This window comes from Homo sapiens, chromosome 12, assembly GCF_000001405.40.
Source record: "Homo sapiens chromosome 12, GRCh38.p14 Primary Assembly".
In the NCBI taxonomy this organism is placed as follows: Eukaryota; Metazoa; Chordata; class Mammalia; order Primates; family Hominidae; genus Homo; species Homo sapiens.
The window spans coordinates 6,036,066-6,063,249 of record NC_000012.12 but is presented as its reverse complement, the minus strand read 5'-3'; the positions used below and the strand labels follow the sequence as shown (position 1 = coordinate 6,063,249).

General features: G+C 49.9%; 1 protein-coding gene and 1 non-coding gene across 3 annotated transcripts in view, besides 2 other annotated features; both read left to right on the top strand.

Moving 5' to 3' along the window:
- The window catches only part of VWF (von Willebrand factor), a 175,794-nt gene that overhangs the window by 61,421 nt on the left and 87,189 nt on the right, over window positions 1–27,184 (top strand). For both annotated transcript variants that reach the window (NM_000552.5, XM_047429501.1), the window contains exons 13-19: window positions 196–296; window positions 5,206–5,401; window positions 6,178–6,393; window positions 10,467–10,707; window positions 16,433–16,527; window positions 18,799–18,959; window positions 26,759–26,862. In NM_000552.5, the coding sequence (NP_000543.3) occupies window positions 196–296; window positions 5,206–5,401; window positions 6,178–6,393; window positions 10,467–10,707; window positions 16,433–16,527; window positions 18,799–18,959; window positions 26,759–26,862 (1,114 nt within the window). The remainder of the gene's footprint in view (window positions 1–195; window positions 297–5,205; window positions 5,402–6,177; window positions 6,394–10,466; window positions 10,708–16,432; window positions 16,528–18,798; window positions 18,960–26,758; window positions 26,863–27,184) is intronic.
- Window positions 4,134–4,641: an enhancer, noted in NCBI's record as "H3K4me1 hESC enhancer chr12:6167775-6168282 (GRCh37/hg19 assembly coordinates)". NCBI's record gives its function as "activates a minimal SCP1, AML or CMV promoter by ChIP-STARR-seq in naive H9 embryonic stem cells {active_cell/tissue: H9 hESC(naive)}" and the evidence as "EXISTENCE:reporter gene assay evidence [ECO:0000049][PMID:30033119]".
- Window positions 4,642–5,149: an enhancer, noted in NCBI's record as "H3K4me1 hESC enhancer chr12:6167267-6167774 (GRCh37/hg19 assembly coordinates)". NCBI's record gives its function as "activates a minimal SCP1, AML or CMV promoter by ChIP-STARR-seq in naive H9 embryonic stem cells {active_cell/tissue: H9 hESC(naive)}" and the evidence as "EXISTENCE:reporter gene assay evidence [ECO:0000049][PMID:30033119]".
- On the top strand, window positions 23,067–23,213 carry SNORA120 (small nucleolar RNA, H/ACA box 120). The gene has a single exon (NR_145989.1). It is a non-coding gene; the product is annotated as a small nucleolar RNA, H/ACA box 120 (small nucleolar RNA).

Genomic DNA, 27,184 nt, shown 5'->3' with positions numbered 1-27,184 from the left:
TTGCGCTCTGTCCACCTTGATCACCCTTCCTCCTGACACCCCCTTAAACCTCATGGCCACCCCATCTGCCCCTAAGTCATTGCTCTTCAGTGCTACCATCCTTTTGAGACACCCCATTTCCTCCCAAATACATCTGCCTGCCACCACCCTGTCCTCTCCCCACCTCTGCCTGAGTCCTGTCCTGCTGGGTTCCAGGTGACCTCCGCATCCAGCATACAGTGACGGCCTCCGTGCGCCTCAGCTACGGGGAGGACCTGCAGATGGACTGGGATGGCCGCGGGAGGCTGCTGGTGAAGGTAGGTGCCCTCACGGGGTACTGGCTCCCTGCGGCCCGACCCTTACAAAGTACCCCTTGTGCTCTGGGTAGAATGGCTTTGTGTGGTGGGAGAAGAATTCCTTTCTCCTCATGGCCTACACCCCCAGAGCGAGAAACAGGCCTCTCTTGTTTATGAGGCTGGTGTTTGTTTTCTGGATGCCCCTTCTTGGCCCTGGGGATTCTTCCTGCTGGGCTCTGCTATCCCAAGGGCCTCTAGACTGGGGTGGGCTCTTGTGGGGCTGGGGAAGGAGCAGGTTTGCTGTCCAATCTCCCGGCTGAAACAAGGCCCGGGAGCAGGGGTGTCTCCCTGGGTGCCCACTGTGGGCAGTAAGGGAAGAGCCAGATTGGCACTCTCAGCTAAGAGAAAGCCTGCCCGGGAAAGGTTGCTCAGGAAACCACCAGATTCTTCCCCTGGACACTGGGACTCTGCATGTGTGGGCCACTTCCTCTTGTTCTTGGTGGTCCTGGAATCACACTGGATAGCAATCCATACTTTTCACTGTTTCTCTGGAAATGACCCTGGCAGGTGGACAGTGCAAATATTACTGCCATTTTATAAATGAGGCAACCAGGGCACAGGAAGTGGAGGGATGGTGCAGCACTCCAGAACTTCCAGGGCTAGGATAGACTCCTCTGATCAGAGGACTGATCCCACTCTGACCCCCACCAACCGTGTCATGGCAGAGCGAGGATTAGTTCTCTGCCTCATGCCTTTCCCATCAGAACAAAAAGTGGTTCTCGCTTTTTGGTCTTGAATGCCTTTACACTCTTAAAAATTATTGAGGACCTCAAGATCTTGTAGGAGGATTATATTTATTGGTATTTATCAGATTGAAAATTAAATTAGAGACATTTAAAATATGTATTTATTAACTCATTCAAAAATTATAATAATAAACCCACTACACATTAATATAAACATCACTGTTTTGGGGAAAAGTAACTGTTTGCCAGAACAAAAATAAGCAACAAGAATAATACCACTGCTGCACATTTCTGCAAATTTCTTTAATGGCTGGCTTAATAGGAGACAGCTGGGTTCTCATATCTACTGCTGCATTCAATCTTTTGCAATATTGCATGTCATGTGGCCTCTGGAAAATTCCACTCTATACTTGTAAGAGAATGAGGAGGGAAAAGGCAAATAGCGTCTTCATAGTATTATGAAAGTAGTTTTGGTCTCGCAGACCCCTTGAAAGTCTCAGGGACCCCTATGGGTCTCAAGACCACACTTTGAGAACCACTGCGCTAGATTATGCCTGGGATCCCTGGAGAGCCTCCTCCTGCCTCCTGGGGTCCTGTATTCCACAGGGTCCTTGCTATAATCCTGGGTGGCAGGGGCAGGGTGGCAGGTTTCACCCAGGAGATCCTGGCGTCCTCCATCCTCGTGTGGCTATGTTCTTTCTCCTGTCTTAGAGCTCCTGAGGGAATTTCAAACTAACTCCTTTTTTTTTTTTTTTTTCCTTTTATGAAAATAAACCTGCAACCACAGACCATAAAGCAGGAAGGTCTGGGAGATCCTCTTGTCAACCTCCCTTTTCCAGTAGGAAATAAAGAGCCATTATTTCTGGAGCAGGAGTAACTTGCCCTAGGCCTCATGGTCGTTTAGTTACCGGGCAAGGACCAGAACTCGGGTCTCCTGGTTCCTGACCAGTCTTGCCTCCTGCACCCCGGTCTTCAAGGGGGTGCTTCACGTTAGCCAGTTCACTTTCTTTTTGTTTGTTTTGTTTTTTGAGAGAGGGTCTCACTCTGTTGCCCAGGCTGGAGGGCAGTGGCACGATCTTGGCTCACCACAACCTCCGCCTTCCAGGCTGAAGCGATTCTCCTGCCTCAACCTCCCGAGTAGCTGAGATTACAGGTGCCCACCATCATGCCCAGCTAATTTTTGTATTTTTAATAGAGATGGGGTTTCACCATGTTGGCCAGGCTGGTCTTGAACTCCTGACCTCAAATGATCCACCCTCCTCAGCCTCCCAAAGTGCTGGGATTACGGGCATGAGCCACCACGCCCGGCCAGCCAGTCCACTTTCTCAGCATCTTCCCACCTCACAGAGAGGGTGCTCTCCACCCATGCACTTTCTCCCCTTGATCAGCAGGGCCGTAACTTCTCATCCTGGGCAGCTGCCCTTCCTCCCCTCAGGTTTCTTTGGTCTTTGTCTCTCCCCTGAGGAGAAGAGAAGCCAACTTCTTTCTGTGGGAGGGGATGTAGGGTTATCTTTGGGGTGGGTTTGTGTCAGTTTAGCTAACAAGAAGACGTTTCCTTGGCCAAGGTTCAGGACAGGGTCAGATGACCCCATGGCCTATAGAACTGTCTTTTTATATATATTTTTCTTTTTTCTTTTTCTTTACACAGATTCCTGGGGCTCATGGAAAGGGACTATCTTGTGGGTTTTATTATGAAGCAGGAAAGGGGGTGTTTGAGTTGGGGCAGGAGGTGGGGAGCCTCAGAATACTGACACCAGGGCTTTTGGGGATGGAAGTGTGGAGGCGAGAGCTGGAGGGAGGCCAGCTGGGGCAGAGGCGGTGCAAGAGGAGGTGCAGCTAGGGGCCCCCCGGTCTCCTTCCCCTGGGTGTGTTATGTACGCTTTGTCCCCGTGGGGCTGGCGGTCCAGGCAGCAAGGCTCCAGCCAGCAGAAATCACATCCTCTGTGTGCTGCTTCCCTGCCCTGCTGGCTGCCCTGCAGGGCCCAGCTCTGCCTTAGGCATAGCAGTGTGGAAAAGATCCTTGCACAGGCTTCATTTAGTCAGAACTGTCACTGACCAGAGGTTTATTTCAAATAGTGAGTGTCGCTAAGTGACACTAAGAGAGTCTCTAAGTGTCGCCCCCACTCTCCTAACCCTGGCCGAGCTGACCTCCGAGACAAGCCAAGGGGATGGGAGAAGACCTGGTTTTAGAGTGGGACATGGGAGTGATGGCTGGCTTGGTGGGGGTGAATGAAAACGCCTTTGGGGAGCATCAAACTCTGAGAAAGGAGAGAGAAAAGATGCTGAGAGGCGGGAAGGGAGTGGAGGTGCACCACCAGTTATGCCGCCTTGCCCAGGGTGCCCTGACTGCGGGCATTGCATTCCAGCACATCAGGAGGAGAACCTAGTCATTCACTTACTTATTCATTCATTTGTTCAACGATTCATTCATTCAACAAACACTTACTGAGTGTCTGCTGGCACTGCTGTGGACTGAATGTCTGTGTCCTCCCCAAATTTATATGTTGAAATCCTAACCCCCAAGGTGATGGTGTTACGAGGTGGGGCCTTTGGGAGATGATGAAGAATGAGATTTGTGCCCTTTTAAAAGACCTCAGAGAGCTTGCTAGCCCCTTCCACCATGTGAGGACACAGCTAGAAGGCACCATCTATGAACCGGAAAGCAGGGTCCTCACCAGACACCAAATCTGCTGATGCCTTCATCTTGGACTTCCCAGATTCCAGAACTGTGGGCAATCAATATCAGTTGTCTATAAGCCACGCAGTCTGTGGTATTTTGTTATAGCAGCCTGGAAGGGCTAAGACAGGCACCATTCTGGATGCTGAGATTACAGCAGTGAGACAAAACAGACAAAAATCCTTGCCTCATTTAGCTTAAGTTCTAATGGAGAGAGACAGACAATAAACAAAGCAAACAAGTAAATTATATTATAGATCGGAAAGTGATAGATCCTGGGGGAAATAAAGCAGAGAAAGGGGCAGGATGTGCCAGGATTGGGGGGATTTAAATTTTAAATAAGGAGGTGGGAGAAGGCCTAATGTGACAACATTTGGTATTTGTCAAGCAAACAAGGAAACATTACTCTGTCCCCTTTCTTAACAGTGTTTACTTGGGTTCGATTTCTATGGGCCTGGGACCTTCTACTGGATTGTTAACCCTGCATTTTGTTAGGTTGGAGCTGGAAGCTGAAAAGGGGCTCTAAGAGCTGACCCTAGCCCCTGAGGGATTCAGAACGCAGGGAGGTCATCCCACCTTGGTAATGACATGCGGAGAGGGAGTCAGGACTCCTGGGTCCCAGCCCCCGCTCCACCTTCAAATCGGGGTCCTCTCCGTAGAAACCAGCAGATGCCCCCAGCTGTGTGGGGGAAGGGCGGGCTCCACTCTGCTGGTTGTTCCCGAATGTGCACTTTGGGCTCAGAACTTTGTTCAGTTCTGAGAATGGACAGTAAACCACATGCTCATGGCCTGGAGTTTGAACTGTGCCGCTGCTTTGCTGCTGTCACCCTGGCAGGCTGCCTCAGAGCCTCTGCAGACTCCTACTCCTATCCATCATCACCCTCAGAGTCTTCTGTGGCTCGTGGCCCTTTCTCTTCAGTGATGCCCAGGGCCTGAGTGGCAGGCAGCAGGTTGTGGGGAGGTGTTTCTTGTCATTAACCGTGAGCTCCCGGAGGGCTTGGACCACACCTGGCAGCCTGCTGGGCCCACACCGAGTGACCAACGCGAAGTCTTTCTATATAGAGGGGCCTTGAGTTTGCACGTAACTCTGGGTGGGGGGGTCAGGCCCACTGGTGTGGATGGCACAGAGGGCAGAGTGCTTCGGGCTGGGCTCAACCTGCCTACTCACCCTAGCTCCGCCACTACCTCCCTGACCTTAGGCAAGTCACTTTGCCTCTTTGGGCCTCCCTTCTCCATCCTTAGATGATCTGATAATTTCTAAAATCTCTTGTGGCAGTACAGGGCTCTGATGATTTGGGAACAGGGATGGAGCTGGTAAATTTACACTGCAGTTCACTTTCCCCCGCCCCCCCTTTTGCAGCCTAGGGCTTAGCTGCCTTTTATTACATTCATATTTATGTTTCACCCGGGGAACTTTTTTTTTTTTATTAAAACCATCTCATTAGCTAAACAACTATGCCGCTGCTTTCGCGGCAGCGGCTCCAGAGTGGCCTGGTCTCTCCTGCAGCTGTCCCCCGTCTATGCCGGGAAGACCTGCGGCCTGTGTGGGAATTACAATGGCAACCAGGGCGACGACTTCCTTACCCCCTCTGGGCTGGCGGAGCCCCGGGTGGAGGACTTCGGGAACGCCTGGAAGCTGCACGGGGACTGCCAGGACCTGCAGAAGCAGCACAGCGATCCCTGCGCCCTCAACCCGCGCATGAGTATGTGAACCCGGGGGCAAGGCAGGGACCTCGCAGAATCTCGAGGTCTCCACATTAGTGCAGTGCGTTCCGGAGGCAGTGCTCCCACCGCGGAGGGCGGGGGCGGGGAGCGAGGAAAGGGGTCGGGCTTTGTTTTTACCGTCAGCACTTGATCATCTGAACTGGGCCATTTGCTCTTCAAAGTCCCTTTATTGGGCGCCCGCCACAGGCCAACCCCCGGGAAAGAAAAAAAAAAAAAAAGTCTACCGAGGCGGGAGGATCGCTTGAGGGCAGGAGTTCGAGACCAGTCTGGGCAACGTAGGGAGCCCCCATTTCTATTAAAATAATAATAATAATAATAATAATAATAATAATAATAATAATAATAAATTTGCCGGGCGTGGTGGGGCGCGCCTGTAATCCCAACTACTTGGGAGCTACGTGGGACGGTTGCATGAACCCAGGAAGGCAAGGCCGCAGTGAGCCAAGATCGCATTTCTGCACTCCAGCCCGGGCGACAGAGCAAGACCGTGTCTCTCCAAAAAAAAAAAAAAAAAATTCCATAGTCCCCGTCCTTCGACCTTCCCAGTCTACTGCAGCAGCAGCTTACAAACTCAGCGTTAGATGATTGTAAGATAAATGGACTTGGGGGTGGGGGTGGCATTTGCAGATTTCTCTGCGTGACCTTGCAGCCCTCTATTAGCAGCACTGGGCTATTTCCAGGGGAGTGTTGACCGGGAGGGCGTGGCCCCCACTCCTCCCCACCACATCCCAGGCTCGCTCCTCTCGCCCCACAGCCAGGTTCTCCGAGGAGGCGTGCGCGGTCCTGACGTCCCCCACATTCGAGGCCTGCCATCGTGCCGTCAGCCCGCTGCCCTACCTGCGGAACTGCCGCTACGACGTGTGCTCCTGCTCGGACGGCCGCGAGTGCCTGTGCGGCGCCCTGGCCAGCTATGCCGCGGCCTGCGCGGGGAGAGGCGTGCGCGTCGCGTGGCGCGAGCCAGGCCGCTGTGGTGCGTGCCCTCCCTGCCCGCAGCCCTCCGGGCCGCCCCCCAAATCCGTCCACGTGTGCTTTTCGAAGCCCTTTCTCTGCGTTGTTTCCTGTGGAAAGAGGGCGTAGGGCATTGTGACAAACACGGGTGGGGAGGACGGTTCATTTGCACCCACTTTTCCCTTCCACCTCCCAGCAGGACAGGCGGTGGGGACCGGCTGATGATTCGGGCCTGTTCCAGGAAGACAGGTTGGCTCCTCCTACCTGGAGGCCTAGAACGTGGGGGTCCCTGCAAAGCTTGGGTTTCCCGTGGCCGCTGCCACCTAGTGTTCGTTCAGCACAGAAGGTCAGGCTGTGGAGCGAATGGGTCCCAGATCCCACTGGGTCTCCGCCTCCCTTAAGAGTCCGATGAAGGCAAGGGAAATTCACATACAAACCCTTTGCTTGTAACTCCAGGCAAACCACCGATGGACAAAACCTCTGGCGTTGTATAAAGTTACCTAAAGGTGAATTACATCACTGTCCCCAGTTGGCTTTAGATTCTCACTCTGCACTGTTGGATTCCTGGCACCAGAGGTGGTATCTATTGTGCTCACTTTTTTGTTTTTGTTATTGCTCTGGGGACATTTGCTGCATGCCCAGTGTGGTCGGGCAACAGTGATGATGTGGAACTCCAAACTTACTGTTAGAGTCACAGATGGAAATGGCCGCCCTACTAGATACCTATCCTACTAAGTGAAAGGATGAGTAGATTCAGGGCAGGGAAAACCAAGGAAGGCTTTCTGGAGGACGTGTACTTGGCTAGGGTTTTAAAAAGCTGCTTTCTTGGCAGAGAAGACTTGTTTCCAATGGTAGAATCATAGTAGGCATAGAAGTGACGAGTATATTCTGTTAAGAATAAGGCATAGTGGATATTCTGTTTTTTAGGGTAAAGTAGATGTGTTTAGAAATTAAAATGTAGGTGTAGTCCCAGCTACTTGGGAGGTTGAGGCAAGAGGATTGCTTGAGTCTAGGAATTTAAGGCTGCAGTGAGTTATGATCGCACCACTGCACTCTGACCTGGCCAACAGAGAAAGACCCTGTGTGTGTGTGTGTGTGTGTGTGTGTGTGTGTGTGTATACATATATATATATATAAAGTAGATGGTCCTGTTGGAAGAGGAGTTATGAGAAACAGTGAAAGGAATTAGCATCTATATTTCAGGAGCAGTGTAGGCATGGGGACCCTAGAAGTGCTACTATTTTGGGTCCAATGAGCCAACTCATGTTTTGAGTTGTAGAAATGTCATATGAAAGAGGAGCAGAGACAACAGTAAGGACGAAAGGGACGAGCACATAATGCAGCCGTTGTGCCCTCCCCATTCCTCCAGCTCTGGGATGTCTTGGGGAGCCACAGGCTAGGGGCTGGGACAACTGGGTCTGGGTCCTTACTGGCAACTTTCCCGTGAGGTACCAGTTATGGGACCTTGAACCCTTCACGTAACCCCTTTGCACTTCAGTTTCTTCCTTAGCATTTGCTATTTAGAAATTGGGGAAAGTAATGAGGAGTGAATGAGATGCTGCTTGTGAATATTCTTTGCTTGTCCACCAGTGTTAGAAATGATGCATTATCAGTATGTGGCAGCATCCGCAGGATTTCTTAATTTAGGACATTCTCCTGGAATGCTAAGGGCCCACTGAAATATTCTTTAATCTGTCATGAACAGCCATTCTTAACCTCCACTGAACAGAACAGGGGAAATGGGCTGATGCTTCAGTAGTGGGGATAAGATTCAGTTAAAGAATGTCTTGACTCCTGAGGCATTACGATAGGGTAGAAAGGGTGGTAGGAAGGAGCTTTCCCTGGAGACTGTTAAGGACAAGAGGGGTCTGTCTCTGTGGGTTTATGTGACAAGAGACTGGGCTGACCAGATGGCCTTGGGCTGTCCCTTTGTACCCAAGGCAGTTGGGTAAGTCTCCTGGGTTCTTGCCCCAATCTTTTCTTGACTTGGAGAAGAGCTCAGGCTCAGCTGTCCCCTCTACCCACTTCCACTTTCTCTTCCAGAGAAATGAACAGAGCTCCCTAAACCAGTGAATCTATTCGTAAGAAGAGGTCACATCAATTGGAGACACTCAGGGAGCACAGACTTACCATGTAGCTACTTTGTGGGATGGTGTGAGGAGATTGATGAGAAGCACACACATTTTTTTTCCTCTTGCAAATTGGTTGTGCTCCCTTTGGGAAGACAGGACCACAGGCTTTCTGAAGGCAAGGACCAGGGCTGGCCATCTCTGCCTCCCTGGGCCTAGCATAGCCCCTGGCATGCAGTGGATACACAAGAAGTGTCTGCTAAACTGAGATGTGCATTGTTTCTTTGGGGAAGAAGGCTAAAGGAGAAATTTAATAAGGCTCCAAGCCAGCCCTAGAGATAGCCTATCAGAACAAAGAAAGTTCTCAAGTCTAGCTGCTTTTTAATGGGTAAAATGTGCCCTTGTCATTGTAGGCTCAGGTGGTTGAAAGACATCTCCATCTTTATTGTCTAACACATCCTGTCTTAACCTACACTCCCTCAGTATTCATCCAATAATCCAACCTTTCCATTCTTGCAGAGAAAAATCAATGTCTAATAGGATTAAAGAGGCCCTCCCTTCCCAGCTACCTTCAAACACCAAGTTCAGGGTGGTTGTAGGAGCGGGAGGCTGCAGGGTCTCTCCAGAGGCTCCCCACTCCATTGTTCAGGCTCACGGCCAAGGCTTACTTTTATAACATCTGTGAAATGCCCTGCCAGTAGGTTTCTGCTGGAGCAATGGATTTGAACAGAGAGGGGAAGGATTGTGATGGTCTCAGAAGAAGCATGCCCAGGGTGAGGTTCTCATTTCTTGGGCAGCAGCTGGTCTGCACAGGGAAGGCATTTTGAAAGGGCAGAATGCTCCCCACACCTTCCCTGTCCTCTACCCTGCCCATAAGGAATTTTGTCACCAGAATGCCAGAGCTTCTGAGGCCTAGGCCTTTCTCTGGAACACTCCTTCCTTCTTGGGACCGCTGAGCTGGGGCTGTTTCCTTAGCAATAAGAATAATAATTATTATCAGTGAACATTATTAGCAGTGAACATTCTCCACATGCCAGACATTCTTCTAAATGTGTTAGCTCATTCAACCTTCACAAAGACTGGGTGGATACTGTTATTCCATCCAGTGAGGATACTGCCCAAGATCACACAGCCAGCTAGTGGTGGACCTGGGCGTGAACCCAGGTATTTGGGATACAGAGCCCGTTCCCTTAGCTGCGTTGCCACTTTGCTACACTTCCTTCTGGCTTGTGTCTCTTGCAGTATTTTTCTGTGGGAGGCTAGGGAGGGTGAGGGCTGTGGGCAGATGGGTGCAGCCCATTTCGCTGTGGTAGGCATGAGTGTCCCTCCTCTTTGGGACCAGCATGTCCTCAAAGGGACTGTTTTCTTTCTAGAGAGTAAGGGTTATGAGCATGAGCTTTAGGGCTGCAGAGAGCTGAGTTCAAATCCTTCCTCTGCTTCTTCCTGTGAGGTATACCCCTAACAAGTCACTCAGCCTAAGTTTCTTGAAAGGGGGTGATGAGAGCTAACTCGGCATGAGGCATAGAGCCCACGTAAGAGCAAGGCATTCAGTAGGTGCTCCATAAATGGTACTCATTGTTGTCACGGGGTATGCCCTTGCCCGTCATTCCCAGTACTTTTTAATATTCACAGCTTCAAAACCTGCCAGGATTTCTACTACATCCTAGGCTTTGAGAATTCAGAGATGACTAATGCACATTCCCTGTGGTTGAGGAAAGGAGAAAATGTGTGCCCCCATAATTATAATACATATCTGCATGCTGAAAAATACACATTTGCTCATAGTGGGAAAGGAAGTTGATGACCATACAGATATAATTGGGGGTCACTTGGGGAAAACTGGGTAAAGGGTACATGGGATCTTTCTGCATTACTTCTTGTAATTGCAAGCAAGTCTACAATTATCTCAATAAAAATTTTAATTAAATAATTGGGGGTCACAGCTACAAGGGGTGGCAAGTCCTAGAACCACAGTCCTTGCTGTCCAACATTCCCGCTGAGGCCTTACTTCTCCTCTCTCTTCTAGAGCTGAACTGCCCGAAAGGCCAGGTGTACCTGCAGTGCGGGACCCCCTGCAACCTGACCTGCCGCTCTCTCTCTTACCCGGATGAGGAATGCAATGAGGCCTGCCTGGAGGGCTGCTTCTGCCCCCCAGGGCTCTACATGGATGAGAGGGGGGACTGCGTGCCCAAGGCCCAGTGCCCCTGTTACTATGACGGTGAGATCTTCCAGCCAGAAGACATCTTCTCAGACCATCACACCATGTGGTAAGTGCAGGCAGCAGTGTCAGGGACCTCTAAAACAGCAGAGCTGGGGAGGAAAACGGGACCCCCAAGTCCTTTACTTCATGGATGGGTAAACTGGGGCCCAAGGAAGGAAGTGACTTGTCCAGAACTGTACAGCAAGTCAGAAGCGGAGCTGGGATTTGGTCCAGGTCTTCTGACTTCCTTACTACACAGGGAACTGGGATTCCTGGCTGGCAGTAGGAGTTCTTGAGTTTTATTGCCAACTGTTATGTGTTGGCCCCCATTTCTGGGCTTTAGGTCTCAGTTTTCCTTTTCTGGAACAGGAAAAGGGAGATCTGCCTGTCACCCTCCTTTCCAGCCTGCTTTCAGTATTCTCAAGCTGAAGCATTTGAGCAGGAAGAACATGGACCACTGCAGCGCTGCCTCCATGGGGCATTGCTACCCTGACCTGCTTCATGCACTTCCCCAAAATAGCTCCAAATCATGCTTGCTTCCTGCAGCTCTTTGCCTAGGCCTTCTGTGACAGTCGGTTTCAACAGGGTTGCCATGAGCGTGGAAGAAATTTACAACAGGACATTTGTTGAGCAAACACTTACCTGTCACCTGTTCTGTCTTAGTTCTGGCTAAGAATTGGTGGTCTAAAGATGAGCCAGGCTGGGGCAGTGGCTCACATCTGTAATCCCCAGCACTTTGGGAGGTGGAAGTGGGAGGAATGCTTGAGCCTGGGAGTTTGAGAGCAGCCTGGGCAACATAGTGAGGCCCTGTCCCTAAATACAAAGAAAAAAAAATAGTTGGCCATGGTGGTGCATACCTGTAGACCCAGCCACTTGAAATACTGAGGTGGGAAGATTGCTTGAGCCCAGGAAGCCAAGGCTGCAGTGAACTGTGATCGCGCCACTGCATTCTAGCCCGGGCGACAGAGGGAAATCCAGTCACCAGACACAGTACCTGATAGTCTACTAGGGAAGACCAGTTAGAAACATCCTGATTGGCCAGGCACAGTGGCTCACGCCTGTAATCCCAACACTTAGGGAGGCCGAGGTGGGCGGATCACGAGGTCAGTAGATCGAGACCATCCTGGCTAACACGGTGAAAATACAAAAAATTAGCTGGGTGTGGTAGCGGGTGCCTGTAGTCCCAGCTATTTGGGAGGCTGAGGCAGGAGAATTGCTTGAACCCAGGAGGCGGAGGTTGCAGTGAGCTGAGATCTTGCCACTGCACTCCAGCCTGGGTGACAGAGCGAGACTCTATCTCAAAAAAAAAAAAAAAAAAAAAAAGAAAAAAAGAAGTCCTGATTATGGAAAATTTCAGACAGACATTAAAGTAGAGAGAATAGTATAAGGAGCCCCAACGTATCCATTCCCAGCTTCAATGATTATCAGCACTTTACCATTCTTATTTTGTCTATTGACTCCTCTGCTGTGTGGCTGGAATAGTTTTTTAAAAAAGCTGTAAATATTACATCATTTCACCTGCAAACACTTCAGTATGTATTTCAATAAATAAACGATTAAAAAAGTAAAGGTACCATTATTAACCTGAACATGAACAATAATTCCTTAATAACGTCTAACATTCAATCCATGTTCACTTCTTTTTTTTTTTTTTGAGACTGAATTTTGCTCTTGTTGCCCAGGCTGGAGTGCAGTGGCACAATCTCGGCTCGCTGCAACCTCCACCTCTGGGGTTCAAGCGATTCTCTTGCCTCATCCTCCCGAGTAGCTGGGATTACAGGCACCTGCCACCACGCCCCGCTAATTTTTGTATTTTAGTAGAGACGGGGTTTCGCCATGTCAGGCTGGTCTCGAACTCCTGACCTCAAATGATCTGCCCGCCTCGGCCTCCCAGAGTGCTGGGATTATAGGCATGAGCCACCACGCCCAGCCTGGAGGATTGTTTTGAGGTGGAGCAGAAGTCTAGGGACTAAACGCACAAGGTGTACTCCACAATCCCCAAGGTAAGTCCTCTGGCATGAACGCATGCTATATGAAGGAAGACTAAGACTGGAGGGAAGTTGGGATGAGGTTCAGGGGTCTTCAGAAGTGAGGGGGTGAGCACTGATGCTGGAGCAGTAGGAATGGGGCCCCTGGAAGGTTCTTAGCAGGGAGCAAATAGGATCCAAGAGTAACTTCAGGGGGTGGGTTTTGGGAGCTGCATGAGGTATGATGGCAGGGAGAGCATCTGCAGGAAAATGTTGACGTTGACCGATAAGAAGGTAGCGAGGCCTTGGATCAAGCGATAGCAGTAGAAATGGAGAGTGGAAGCCAGAAGCCAGAGACGCTGGGAAAGCAGATGGACTAGTGGGATGTTTGAGAGGAGGAGGGGCTGTTGCAGATGGCCCTGGAGTTCTGAACTTGAATGCCTGTGAGGACAGTGACGCAAGAACAGCAAGAGGGCCCTCTGGAGGTAGAGGGCAAGTGATGGCTTTGGTTTTGGCCTTAATGACTTTGAGTTACCATCTTGGTGAACAAATGGAATCAACAGCTTGAAATGGGTCTGGAAGGTGAGTGAGAGGTTGGGGTGGAGAGAAAGACGTACATGGAGGTGACAGTTTCAGCCATGAGAGTAGCGAGGATCCCTAAGGGGAGTGGGCCAGAGGGCAGAAAAGAGGACTGAGTCAGAACTTGGGGGAATGTTCAGAGGGCAAGAGGAAGAAAAAGAGGATTGCATGAGAGAGGCCAAAGGTCAAAGGCCAGTAAAAAGGGCAGAACCAGAGCAGTGCCATATCATGGAAATGAAGGGCAGAAGGGAGTAAGGACCTCCTCTGCAGGACTGCTGACTTGGCCTTAGCCCAGTGCTGTTTTACTACAGTTGTCTGGCTATAGTTTGCCAGGAGTTTCTCTCTGGGACCTTAAAACAACACTGTTGGGCAGGCATGACTTGCTTTTTTAGTAAAGAATTTGAGGCTTAGAGAGACTATCACTTTCCTAAATCAGCCAGCAAGTGACTAGAGCCCAGGGATTCTTGAACTCTCCTTATTACAGTGAGAATAGACGGTTGAATTTGGGGATCAGAAGGTCATGGTGGCCTCTGTGTTTCAGTGGTAAGGATAGAGGCTAGACTATAGGAAGTTGGTATGACTTGGGAGGGCAGCAACTGTTGCTGGCTATTTCACTAAAACAGAGAAGGTGGGAGAAGGTGCGCCTTGGCCCCTGGGTGAACAGGGTTGGGGAGTGACCCTGGCTTTGGGCTCTTTTTAGGGTTTGACATCAGCGACCTCTCCATGTCTGCGTCCTCCTTGTCTCTCTTTTAGGCACCAGGGCTGAAAGCTATTCAGCAGCTTGTCTTTCCACTTCATTTAGAAAATTGGGTTTCACGGAGAAGGTGTGTTGGAAGGACCTCGGGGCCTGTGTGCCGCTGTTTATTTTTATTCTTTAGACAACACACTGGAGAATGAGCCTCGCTGGAGCAGGTGCTAGTGGTGGTCGTGAAAAGGTGGCAGGAGGGTGAAATGCTGTGGCCTGGAGGTTCTGCAGACCGCGTGCTTGGTCATCCCAGCGGCCATCACAATGGAGTATTTCTTCTTCTGCAGACCAGGCTCAGGGCCAGGAGTTGATTTTAAACCTATCTTTGAGGCTTTTTAGAAAATTAAGCTTTTGGGTCATGTCCAAATGACAGATTGAACATGACATTTACGGGGGCGGGTGGAATTTTCTCCCTTAAAACTAGGTATTAGTTAAAAACCAGAAGAAGGCACGGGTTCTGCACGTGCTCAGAAAGGGAAGGGCTGATTCTCTTGTTTATTCAACAGATATTTATTGAACAGCAGCTGCATTAAAAATGTTCAAAATCATTACAGTCAGCTGGGCAAGGTGGCTCACGCCTGTAATCCCAGCACTTTGGGAGGCCGAGGTGGGCGGATCACTTGAGGTCAGGAGTTTGAGACCAGCCTGGTCAACATGGTGAAACCCTGTCTCCACTAAACATACAAAAATTAGCTGGGCATGGTGATGTGTGCCTGTAATCCCAGCTACTCTGGAGGCTGAGGCCGGAGAATTGCTTGAACCCGGGAAGTGGAGGTTGCAGTGAGCTGAGATCATGCCGCTGCACTCCAGCCTGGGCGACAGAGTAAGACTCTGTCTCAAAAAAACAAAAACAGGCAGGGCACGTTGGCTCACGCCTGTAATCCCAGCACTGTAGGAGGCTGAGGCGGGTAGATCACAAGGTCAGGAGATCGAGATCATCCTGGCCAACATGGGGAAACCCCGTCTCTACTAAAAATACAAAAATTAGCTGGGTGTGGTGGCACATGCCTGTAATCCCAGCTACTCGGGAGGCTGAGGCAGGAGAATCGCTTGAACCAGGGAGTAGGAGGTTGCAGTGAGCCGAGATCGAACCACTGCACTCCAGCCTGGTGACAGAGTGAGACTTGGTCTCCAAACAAAACAAAGCAAAACAAAACTGAATAAAATTATTACAGTCTGAGAAATGCAAATTAAAGCAATGAGTATGACTTCATACTAGACTGGAAAAATTAGACATCTGGATAATGCAGAGCTGAGGGGCATGGGGGCCTCATCTGCTTTTGTAAGGCATAGACTGGTTGAGTCATCTAGGAGAGTACTTGGCACATCATGTGCAGGTCAGGTATTCACACCTGCTATCCCCGCCCTTCTGCCTCTGTGCAGATAGACTAAAATCCTTATACACATTCATTAGGACACATGTCTGCAGATGTTCAGCACAGCTTTGTTTGTGGTGGTAAGGAGCAGGTGACAACCTATGTCAATCACTGGGACACTGAGTGGGTAAAAGGTGTATTGTGCAACAGAAGTCACAGACAAGTGGTCCGTGTCTTCACAGGGATGAATCTTACAAACACGGTGCTCGATGGGAAAAGCAAAACACAGCATGCTATGTGATATCATTTATACAAACTAAACATACATACAAAGCAACCACAGACGTTTTATAAAAATATGCAGTCAGTTAGGAGACTTTTACATAGTCCAGGCAAGAGGTCATAGTGTCTTGTCTCATGACAGTGGAGATAAAGTGGATATGAATTTCAGTGGTATGTTGGAGGCCAAGTCCAAGGGCTTGATGATGAATCAGATACAGAGGATGAGGGAGAAGACAGTGGCAGGGATGATCTTGGGTTTCTGGTTGCGAAGCCAGATGGATGGCGTCACCATTCAGTGAATCAGCCCTGGAGGAGAATTGGCTTTGGTCGGGGGATCATGAGTTTAGTTTTGAATATACTGAGTTTGAGGTGTGTTTGAGACTCACTACATTAGTGAGACCATGTAGGCGTTTGAGTATATGGGTCTGGGGTTCAAAGGAGCGGTCCGAGCTGCTGATGTAGATTTATGAGTCATGTCTGTGATTGGAACTGGGGATGGCAGCAGAGTGTGAGAAGAGGAGCGAGCCTAGGACAGAGCCTGGGGAAGGCCGATATTGAAAGGCCAGGCAGTGGGGGCACATGAAAGCTGAGGCTGAGAAGGAGGAACCAAGGAAGTGGGAGGAAAACCTGGAGAGAGAAATATTTTTTTTCTAGAAGAGTGGAGTGTTCAACAGTGATGAATAATGTTGAATGGGATCAATTAAGCAAATAACTGAAAAAAGTCCCATGGGATTTAGTGACGTGGGGATCATCCATTGGTAACGTTAGCAAGCTGTGCTTCAGGAGGGGTTATGGGACTGGGACCTGGTTGGAAGGGGCAGAGAGTGAGTGGGAGGTGAAGATGTGGAGGCAGCGAGTATAGACGAGTCTCGTGAAGCTCGGCTATGATTTTCTTCTCTGCAGCTACTGTGAGGATGGCTTCATGCACTGTACCATGAGTGGAGTCCCCGGAAGCTTGCTGCCTGACGCTGTCCTCAGCAGTCCCCTGTCTCATCGCAGTGAGTACTGTCCCCCTGGAAGGCCCATTGACTCCATCCTGCCCAGATTCCTCACGTGTGGAATGGCGGGAGAGAGCTGGGTGACACCGTCAGATGTGCGTGTGCACCCAGGCATGGGTCTGGCTTCGCCCAGGATCGCCTTCATTTCTGGGTTTGTGTGAGTGACTTTCAGGCCAAGGCATGTCTTTGCATGTGTCAATCCCGACCATTGAGGCAAGGAGTATTTGATTTCGTGTAAGGGGAAAGACCTGCAGATAAATTCTATGAGACCCCTATTTTGCCCGTGGAGACCTTAACCCAGTGGATAGCTGTGAGTTGGTGGCCTTGATTGTGATGACAGTCACCCTTCTTTGATGGCCTCTTGTTTCCTATGGACATGCTGATGAAGACAGCTCTTCCTTGAGAAAGCTTCTTGGATGGGTTTGAAAGAGAGAAAGAGAAGGGTTGGGTCCGTTGCTCTCCATTCGAAGGTCCTAACGGTGGCTGCACTGTCTTTTTTTTTTGAGAGTCTCACTCTGTCACCCAGGTTGGAGTGCAGTGGTGCAATCTCAGCTCACTGCAACCTCTGCCTCCTGGGTTCAAGCAATTCTCGTGCCTCAGCCTCCCAAGTAGCTGGAATTACAGGCATGCGCCACCACACCTGGCTAATTTTTTGTATTTTTAGTAGAGACGGGGTTTTGCCATGTTGGCCAGGCTGGTCTTGAACTCCTGACCTCAAGTGATCTGCCTGCCTCGGCCTCCCAAAGTGCTGGGATTACAGGCATGAGCCACCACGCCTGGCCTGTTGTACTGTTTAAGGACCAGGCATGGAAGGGAGAAGGGGCTGACCTGGTACTGGGGGTTTCACATTTACATTTATGGATTGCAGCACCCTTATTTGCTTCCAGAAGGCTTATCCTTGCTTAGAAAGGACTCTTCCAGTGGGAGAGAGATAAATGGCTATCTTCAATCTCCAGCTTGACTGCTTCCCTCTCTGCCTCTCACTTTCCACAAGGCTCCTTCTGTCCAAGGGACCCAGTTCTGTGCCATGGTGTTTGCTTCCTGGCTTGCCCTGCGTGACAGGTCTGGCTCCTGGCGTGACCGACTGGAGAGCGTCTCTCAGCCTAGAGCTGGGGCAAGATCCCGAGGGCATGGGTGGCTCAAAGGTTGAGACCAGAACTTGTGACCTCAAGATCACTCCATCCTTCTGTGTCTTCTTCTGTCCCTCTCAGAGAGTTTTCCCCACACCCACTCTCTGTTGCATTCTGCCTCTCAGACCTACCTTCCGTGCTTCTGCTCAGAATCTTCTAGTCTGGTCACTGGAAAATGTAATATTTTTCAAAGTCAGGAAACTCCTGGGATTCTGTGCAGATTGGGAAAAGCCGTTTAGCCTTTTGGAGTTTCAGTTTTCTAACAAGAGTTTCCATATAAAAATAAGGCTAGAAATTTTGACTGTTTTGCCCAGAGGAGCGAGTATGTGATACAAATGCTATTAAGTGCACCTGGGCTTTGGAAAGAAAGGTGCTGTATCAGTCATCTGCTGTCAGTATTACCCAATTAGCCATTGATACCTACTAATTGCCACGAAGTAGGATATGTCAATGCGCAAAGTAGATAGAAATCCCTGGCTTCATGGAACATGCGTTCTAGTGGGCCCAGTGGCTTGGGGAGGACAGTAAACAAGTAAGTGAGATGTGTAGTATATCAGATGGTGAGAAGAACATATATAGGATATCAGAGGGGAAGCAGCAGGGAGGGGAGATTGGAGTGTCCAGGGATGGAGTGTTGCGGGTGTTGCAAATTCGCATGGAGTGGCTGGGCAGGGGCTGACGCGAGCAGAGATCTCTTTTAAAGCCATTGTGGTCAGATGGCCTTCTCTCCCCACATTAGTTGTAACCATTTAGGAATGATTCTGTTGGGTCCATTAAAACTCCTTTTTAGCACCCAAACTCAGGTCTTTTCAAGCCTGGGTCTGGAAATTTCTGCAATGCATCCTGATTCAATGTAACCTGCTATAGCAAGGTTAAGGGTGATGACAAGTATGGGACATTAGATGAGAGCTGGGGTCAGAAGAGCTGCCACCAATGTAAGCCAGAGGTCAGAAGCCCAGGTGAGAAGATGCCCTCCCAGTCCCACACAGGGACCCTGGCTCAGGCAGCTGCTGGTCCCCGTGAGTGGGCAACTCTGAGTCTCTTGAATTTAGTCACAGACTCTAGGGGACCAAAGGACAGTGTGGAAGGTAGGTCCATTCTCTCCTTCACTAATCATCTCTTTGCTTTTCCTACCTTCGAGGCAAAAGGAGCCTATCCTGTCGGCCCCCCATGGTCAAGCTGGTGTGTCCCGCTGACAACCTGCGGGCTGAAGGGCTCGAGTGTACCAAAACGTGCCAGAACTATGACCTGGAGTGCATGAGCATGGGCTGTGTCTCTGGCTGCCTCTGCCCCCCGGGCATGGTGAGTCACCAGGCACAGAGCTGGTGCCTGCCCTTCAGTTTTCTTGTAGGCAGGGATGAGTGAGGGGGCTGTGCAGCCAGAGAGAGGAAGAAACAAGGGCTAAACACGGATAGCAATGGAGGTGGTGCTGGTAATGGGGGCATGGAGGAGGGGAGGCTCTTCTGTCTCCTCCCTGCCAAAGTCAGGGAGGGAGTTGTTAGGAAAATGCCTGGGGTTGATCCTCACAGGATCTGACAAAAATATAAGAACTTAGCTTACAGGAGTGCCATAGGAAGCAAAGAATTTCCAGAAAATACGTACTAGTAAAAACAAGCATTCCCACTAGAATTTTCCCAGGGGCCGCCTTCCATGCTATGAAAATGGAGGGACACATATATATTTGCATATGATTGACGTATATGCATATAATTTTCTATTTCAAAAAAAGACATTGATGGCCCTGCCGTGTCACTAGCAAGCCATGGGCCCAACAAGTCTCTTCCCCACAATGAAACTTGTTTTCCTCATCTGTAATGTGAGTCGTGAGGTCTTGGCCAGCCCTTAACATTCCATGACTCCGGTGCTGTGCCTGAAACAGGCATGGAGGCCGTGCATCCAAGGCCGTGCTGGTTTGCGACTCCTGGCTCCTATGTGGATGTTCTGCTGCTGGTGGCAATGATCTGAGCATGCCTACTCCTCCTTATCTCCCTCCCAAGTCTAATCTTAGCCAGCGTTGTATTAAATAGATTACGCATACATCCTGAAGGATGCAACTTCCAGATGTTTCTCTTTCAAAATGCATCCTGTCTTCTTGTTTTCCCCAACTCCAATTCCTTATACCCAAAGTGAATGGTGAGGAGTTGGGGCAGAGGCTGTGGAGGCCAGAATGGGAGAGGGTGGCTCTCAGATGGCTTTGGAGGGGACTTAGTGTTGCCCAGGACTCTGCTTGAGGGGAAGTGTCCTGGACTGTGGGACCTGTCAATATTCTGTAGAGGGAATGTGGACTCAATTACCAGTGTCTCTCAGGAAGGCTGGGATTGCAGTGTGTGAAGGACAGATGCTTACTTTTCTACTTCCCCTTCAACTCTTTCTTCTCCCAAACAGAGAGACCAACTCTTGTTAATTCTCTCCTCCTCTGTCTTAGCCTCTGAGGGTTTTGGAACTGTCTTTTCTGATGAGGAGAGCTAGCGATTGGCCAATGAGCACCTTTGAACTGGAAGGGTTGTTTGGTGCCTTAGCAGAAGGTGGATATCACGAAGGGTCTCTAAGGTGGGGAATCTCAGACCTGGGTAGGAACAAAAAATAGGAGAGGGCAGGGGAATCTTCCTTATTGCTCTTCTTTATCCCTGGGGCCTCTTAGGTAGAGTGTCTCAGAGCTTTGGTGTGGGGAAAGCATAGATCATTGTCTCTTCATCATACTCAGCAGGAAAAGGAACATCACTCAGAGGACTATGTCAGCATCGGATATGCTTTGAAACAAACTTTTTTGTCATGAAGGAAAAAATACAGATAGCCTTAAATATTAGTAACCACAATAATTATATTATGACCCCAAATCCAAAAAAGAGGACAGCGGGACCTCAAATACAGGCTGTGGCTATCCTGTTAGGCGCTCATTTCATTCCTGAAGCACTGGGCATGCATTCTGAGGACAGCACTTGGATACCTGTCACGTGACGAGGTGACTCGCACTTCAGCCACAGGGGATTCTAACTTGCAGGTTCATATTGTAAGAGATTCGGTTATTTTCACAACTGCTTCCTTACGATGCCGGCGAGTGTGCAAATTATTGCGGCCAGATTCGAGAGAGCAGAGAAGTCCGTGTAATTTATTAAGGGTGCGCAGCGTGCCGCCTGCAGCACGGGACACGTGTTCTTGGCCATAACACAAAGAAAATGGAGCTGGGCCTGGAAACACCCTGTTTGGGCCCATCTGATGGTGCAGACATCATCCCTCGGGGTGTTCCTCTGTCCAGTCTGTCCCTTGTGAAGGGGCAGGGTTGTGGGATGTCACTAAGGGCTTGGGGAAGGGGTCACGGATTCTGCATTCTTCTGAGGACTTGACAGGGGAAAGGGAAGTGGCTTTTTCCCGGGGGCAGATCTGCGGGGGGCAGAAAGAGCAGGAATGGGGTGCAGAGGGCAGACCCGTCAGGCCAGGCTTCCCTGCTTTCCCACTCCATGCTCTTGTGCAATCCTTCAGTCTTTACCGGAAGCCCAGTCACCTCATGTGTTACGTAGACACCGAATTCCTGTTCTGCCTCCATGATGCATGGCTGTGGGCCCCAAGGAGATGTGTGTGAAAGCACTTTAAAGCCAGAGAGTTCTACAGAAGTGTAGGAATAGCTTTCATTGTTGTTTCTGTAACTATCCAAGGCTGTCTCAGAGGCTGCACCCATCAGTTCTTCCTGCTGTCCATAGGAGAGACCTGTAAAGGATGCTTTTTCTTAGATTTCCAGCCTGCTGTGGACCCATGCTTTTGTAAATACAATAAAAATGAATTCTCATAAAAATAAAACAAAAGCAATGACAAAAATAATATGATCCCACCCAACTAAAAAATATTTTCAGCTGGGCGCAGTGGCTCACGCCTGTAATCCCAGCACTTTGGGAGGCTGAGGCGGGCGGATTACGAGGTCAGGAGATCGAGACCATCCCGGTAACACGGTGAAACGCTGTCTCTACTAAAAATACAAAAAATTAGCTGGGCGTGGTGGCGGGCGCCTGTAGTCCCAGCTACTTGGGAGGCTGAGGCAGGAGAATGCCGTGAACCCAGGAGGCGGAGGTTGCAGTGAGCTGAGATTGCACCACTGCACTCCAGCCTGAGCGACAGAGCGAGACTCCGTCTCAAAAAAAAAAATTTCTTTTTTTTTTAAAAATTTTTTTGAGACGGAGTTTTGCTCTGTCACCCAGGCTGCAGTGCAGTGGCATGGTCTCGGCTCACTGCAACCCCCACCTCCCAGGTTCTAGTGATTCTCCTGCCTCAGCCTTCTGAGTAGCTGGGATTACAGGCGCACACGACCACACCCAGCTGATTTTTGTATTTTTAGTAGAGATGGGGTTTTGCCGTGTTGGCCAGGCTGGTCTCGAACTCCTGACCTTAGGTGGTCTGCCTACCTCTGTCTCCCAAAGTGCTGGGATTACAGGTGTGAGCCACCATGCCCGGCCTTAAAAAATGTTTTCTTTCCTTTTTTTCATGATCCCTAAATCTAAACTCTTACTTCCCACTTTTTATGACATATAACAGACATAACATGACTCTGCCAAATTTCCCTAAGATTTTCTAAACACTTTCTCTTAGTTTCTGTGCTTGCGTCCTCACAGGCTGGCCCTGGCCCAGGGAATGCACTTTGAGCAGCCCTGTTCTCAGCCGAAGATTGTCTCTCCTCCTCTAAGGTGCCTCTCAGTGTCCACCGTATGCCCAGAAGCACCTGTTTGAAAATATTGGCGGGGGCAGAGAAAGAACCCCTCTCTTTCTGGTTTGTCCCAGGCCTGGCACCTGCTTAGAGCAGAGGTTTTCTGGTTGACCCCACAAGCTGCAGGCTGTATCTGCTCCTGCCATCGTGCAAAGGTCTCCTGGCATGGGAATGAGGAGGATGGGGGTCCCTTTGCTAAGTGGTCCGCACCGTGATAAATGAAGGGCAGAGAAACCGCCTGGAAACGGCATGGTATCGGAACCTCACACTTCCAGGTTTGAATCCTGCCTCCTAACATCTACTTAAGTGAGTGGCAAGTCACTTAACATCTTGGCGTCTTAATTTTCTTATCTGTAAAACTGGCTTGCAGGCTGTTGGGAAGACTGGAGATGAGAGCAGCGAGCACATGGGAGGTGCTTAGTGAGTGGTGGTTTAATGACCACTAACTATTACAGTAAGTTCGTGGTGGGAAACGGTGAATCCTGCCATGAACAGAGATGCTGCAGGGAATTAGCACACACAGGAGCATCTTTTTAGATCCCAGTGTTCACTTTCTGAGACCTGCCGGATCGATAAAATGAGGGGGTTGTGCTGGAAGATCTCCCAGGTATTTTTCTCTAGTTCAGAAATTCTTGGAGCCATGCTTGCCTGAAGCATCCATCTCTTTAAGTTAGAATATTACCTGCTACCACCACTAGGTGACAGCAAAGCACAACTCACTGCCCTGCTCACCCTTCCTGAGTCCGGCGGCAAGGGTAACTCTGGGAGCATCGTAGAGGGCAGAGAAGAAGAAACCCTGAGGTCCCATTATGTCAGCCCCTTCTATCACACGGGAGGAGACTGAGGACAGAAAGGGAACAGAGCCGGGTCAAGCCTTCATAGTTGTATAGTGGAAATTCTGGTCTCCTGACTCTGAGACCAGGGCTCCTGTAATCTGAAACACTTAGGCCTCTGTCTGGGAGATGCTGACTTCCCGTTTGAAACCTAGCAGCTACATCTCCCAAACTGCTGGTATTAGGAGCCTCTTGGTGGCGAGAAGTGTGGTTATGTCCCTGATCCCAGGATGTCCAGTTTCCTCACTGGCCCCATGTGAAGACTGAAGGAGTTGGGCACCACTTCTTAAAGTTCAGAGCTTGGGTTCAAGGGCCCATCCAGAGGCGGCCTCACATGTGGGCGTTGCACATTTTAAAAGATCCAAAGAAGGGCCTGTTTCAGAAATATCTCCTACATGGTCCATGATTTGTCACTCAGTCGGGCTTACTGAAATATAATAAGCAAAAATTCATTTTGGTTAACAAGCGAGAGGTTTAAAAAAAGCGGAACCTCATAAGTCTTCATAGGAGGAGTCATCACGCTCAGCAGGAGTGCTTTAATCAGATCACTCTCCTCCTCGCAAGCTTCTGGCTGAGTTCAGCTGCTTTGGCCTGAAAGTACTGATGGGGTAGGAGAATGAACGAGAGGCAGTTGGAAGGTAAAAAAGATTCTGGAGAGTGGGTCACGATGGTGTTCATGTATGGAGAGTTGGGGACAATGGGGCCTTTTCAGAGAAAGGTAACAAGACCAGTATTTTCCTACTTTATAATTTTCTTGGAGTGGACCAACACGTAGGACCACGTTCTCAGCCTGACCCCTTTCGGACTGAAGATGTCATGAGTTGGTGAGTGATGGGACGAGTATTTTTGCCAGGCTTTCTTCTGAAGTCTTCAGGGGACATTCATAGACTTTATCTTAGTAGCCTTTTGATGTCCCGAAGGGACAAACACTAGACGGAGGTGGTTCTCTTCATTTTAACTGTGAGGTTTAAGTGACTTGCCACAAAATTTGGCCAGGGACTGTTGTGCTGGCCTGCCCCGCCTCTCTGCACAGCTCCCCTCTGGGTCCAATCCATCCCCTAAATTACCCCTTTATTTCCAGGCCTATCTACCTCCATGAATTTCCACCTCCCTGAATGTCTTTGCCACTTTGGGATTCTCTGGGTGTTTTTAGCTGGGCTATTGTTACCTGCTCTTCTCTCCCAAGTCAGGAAGTCTCATGCTGTGTCCTGGAAACCCTTTCCTCTCATTGAAGATTATGTTTTGTCTCCTCTCCAGCTCTCTTATGACCTAACTCCACACCACTGTGGCCTTCATAGCAGTCCTCACTTAATATCAAGGTCCTATTATAATATTGCTGTCCATGAATTAATAACCTCCTCTTGCTAACACGAGTCGGCAGAGAGCAGCCACGTGGTTTGCAGTGGGTGCTCAGAAGGAGGAGGAGGTGGCGGCTGCAGTCATGGCATTGTTATCTCACACCTGAGCTGGGACTGGAGTGTTCTGTCCGCTGGAGGAGGGCTGGGCTTCCATAGACCCACACCTGGGTGACAGGAGGCATGGTGGGTTGTCCCATGGGTTGAATATCATGGCGAGAGGTAAAAACATGCAGCATGCAGACCAAGAGGCCTGGGAGCCCCCAGCCCGGCCTGCCCAAGGGTGAGGGGCAACATGTGCTGCTGAGGTAAGGGGAGCCTGGCTCTGTTTCCTGGAGTCCGTCCCTGCACTTCTGTCCCACATGGTATTTGCCACAAGGAGGCGTATTATCTGGTTTCCGTTGACTGTAAGGCATCCGTGGGATACCTCAGTCATTCTTATAGCAGCCACTAGGTGGTGGGCCTCAGGCTTAAGTCAGAGCTGACACTGGACGGGGCGATGTGGACATGAACCCTAATTGTGACAGAGGCTTTGAATGCTCTGCTAGAGAGAGGTTTTTCAGCCCTGCCAGCTCCTACCAAGGTGCCATCTTCCCTACTGGGTGCTTAAGCTCATTCCCTCCCAAGAACAGTGGTTCCGGGAGGTAAGAGCTACCAAGAGTGGGGTCAACCTGCATCTTATGCCCTGCACTGTCATCCTGACCCATCAGCTGGGCTTCCAGAGATGCGGGAACACCTCCTGAGGTTGGGTGAAGATGACATTAAGCAGTGGAGGATTCTTCCTATTTCCCTCCCCCCAACCGCCCCAACACACACATGCTCACATACGATTCTAGCCTGGGTCCTTGAAAGCCCTTTGTTCAGCCCAAGATTGCCCTGTTCCCAGGGATTTGTCCAGCTCCAGGCCTGGGAGCTCAGACTTGTCTGGGGAGTGACTGGGTCACGTGGAGCTGGAACTGTTCAGACCAGGAGCTTCTCGCCCTGCAGGGAGCTCTGGAGCCAAGGTGCCACAGTCCTTCACCTGGGGGTGACCCAGGCCTCTTTGAGAACCCCCAAGGCTAGGCCACACCAGGACAGGCACCCAGGGCTGCCCCTTGGAGTCGGGACAGAAGCGTGTCTGCATGTTGAGCTCAGAGTGGGTTTGGCTGACTCTTCTGGGGCTGGTAGTTCTTAGTTCTTTTATTTTCTCAGCCCCAACAGACCGGAGGAATACAACATGCTCACGAAAGTAGTTTCCCGAGGGGTGACGACGGGGAAGTAGAGCATACCCCATGGAGAGTGAACCGGGATACGGGAGACTGGGCAGGAGGGGGCCTGTGGCTTGGACCAGCCCCCAGACTCTAGTTCTGATCGATTTCTACTTATGCCCAATATTTGGCCCTCACCTCCAGAGTGTTAAGTACATATTAATTTTATTCAATATAGTGTTCATTTTCTTTAATTATAAACATAATACATGCTCATTGAAGAACACTTGGAAAAAAATTTTAAAACTGAAAAAGAAAATAAAATCCTCCCACTCGCCTATCCCAGCTCACCACCTGGAGGCAGATTCTGTATTTCCTTCTAGTCTTTTGTGAAATATATATACATTTGGAACCATATGTATATACAGTTTTTCTTCCTGTGTTAAAAATTAACAGCATAAGTATTTCTCACTTCATTTAAGATTCTTCCAAAGGACCATTGTAATAGCACCATAGGATACTGGCGCCTGGTGATTCCTCAATGGATTTAGTCATTTTCCTATTAAGTGTTTCCAATTTTTTTTTGCAATGATAAATAATTCTCCATCAATCTTTGTCCATAATTCTATTTCCCTCAGAGAAATCCTTTCCTTGGGATGGCTAGGTGTAAGAATATGTGCATTTCAAGGCCTCTGGACATGATTTTTTGAAGTACCTTTGCAAAAATGTCCAGGTTACAGTGCCCCAGCAGGGCACGAGAGGGCAGAGGGCAGTCAGTGTCTTTAGTTGACAGGGAGGAGCCATGTAGATGGGAACCCATGTTTGCCAAGCCCTGGCCTGGGCATAGGATCCCTGTCCTGGCTTGGCCTGCAGTGGAAGCTGTCCCCCTGGCTCAGCCCTGGTCCTGGTGCCAGTCCCAGTGCTGGGCTTACCCGTAGGCTCAAGTCTCAGACAACACTTCCTGGAGCGGGCTGGAGGAGGGCTTTAGATCAGTCACTGTGGCCCTGAGGACTTTTGGATTCTTTTCTCTTAGGTCCGGCATGAGAACAGATGTGTGGCCCTGGAAAGGTGTCCCTGCTTCCATCAGGGCAAGGAGTATGCCCCTGGAGAAACAGTGAAGATTGGCTGCAACACTTGGTGAGGCTCAGTGAGGGGCTGCGCCGGGGACCCAGGCCCTGCGGGTGGAGTGAGGGTGCACGCGGCCACAGGACCTTCCGCACTTGCCTCCAGCCCCCTGTGGGAACCTGGTTACTCTCTGCCTTTCCTCCGTGCCTGTGTTTCTCCATCTGTAAAATGGGGAGAATCTTTTTCATCACCTGTGTCCATCCTGCATAGACACTATTCAACAGGTTAGTACAGTAGCCCTTATCCGAAATGCTTGGGACCACAACTGTTTTGGATTTTGGATTATTTTGGACTTTGAAATATTTGCATATACATAATGAGGTGTCTTAGGGAT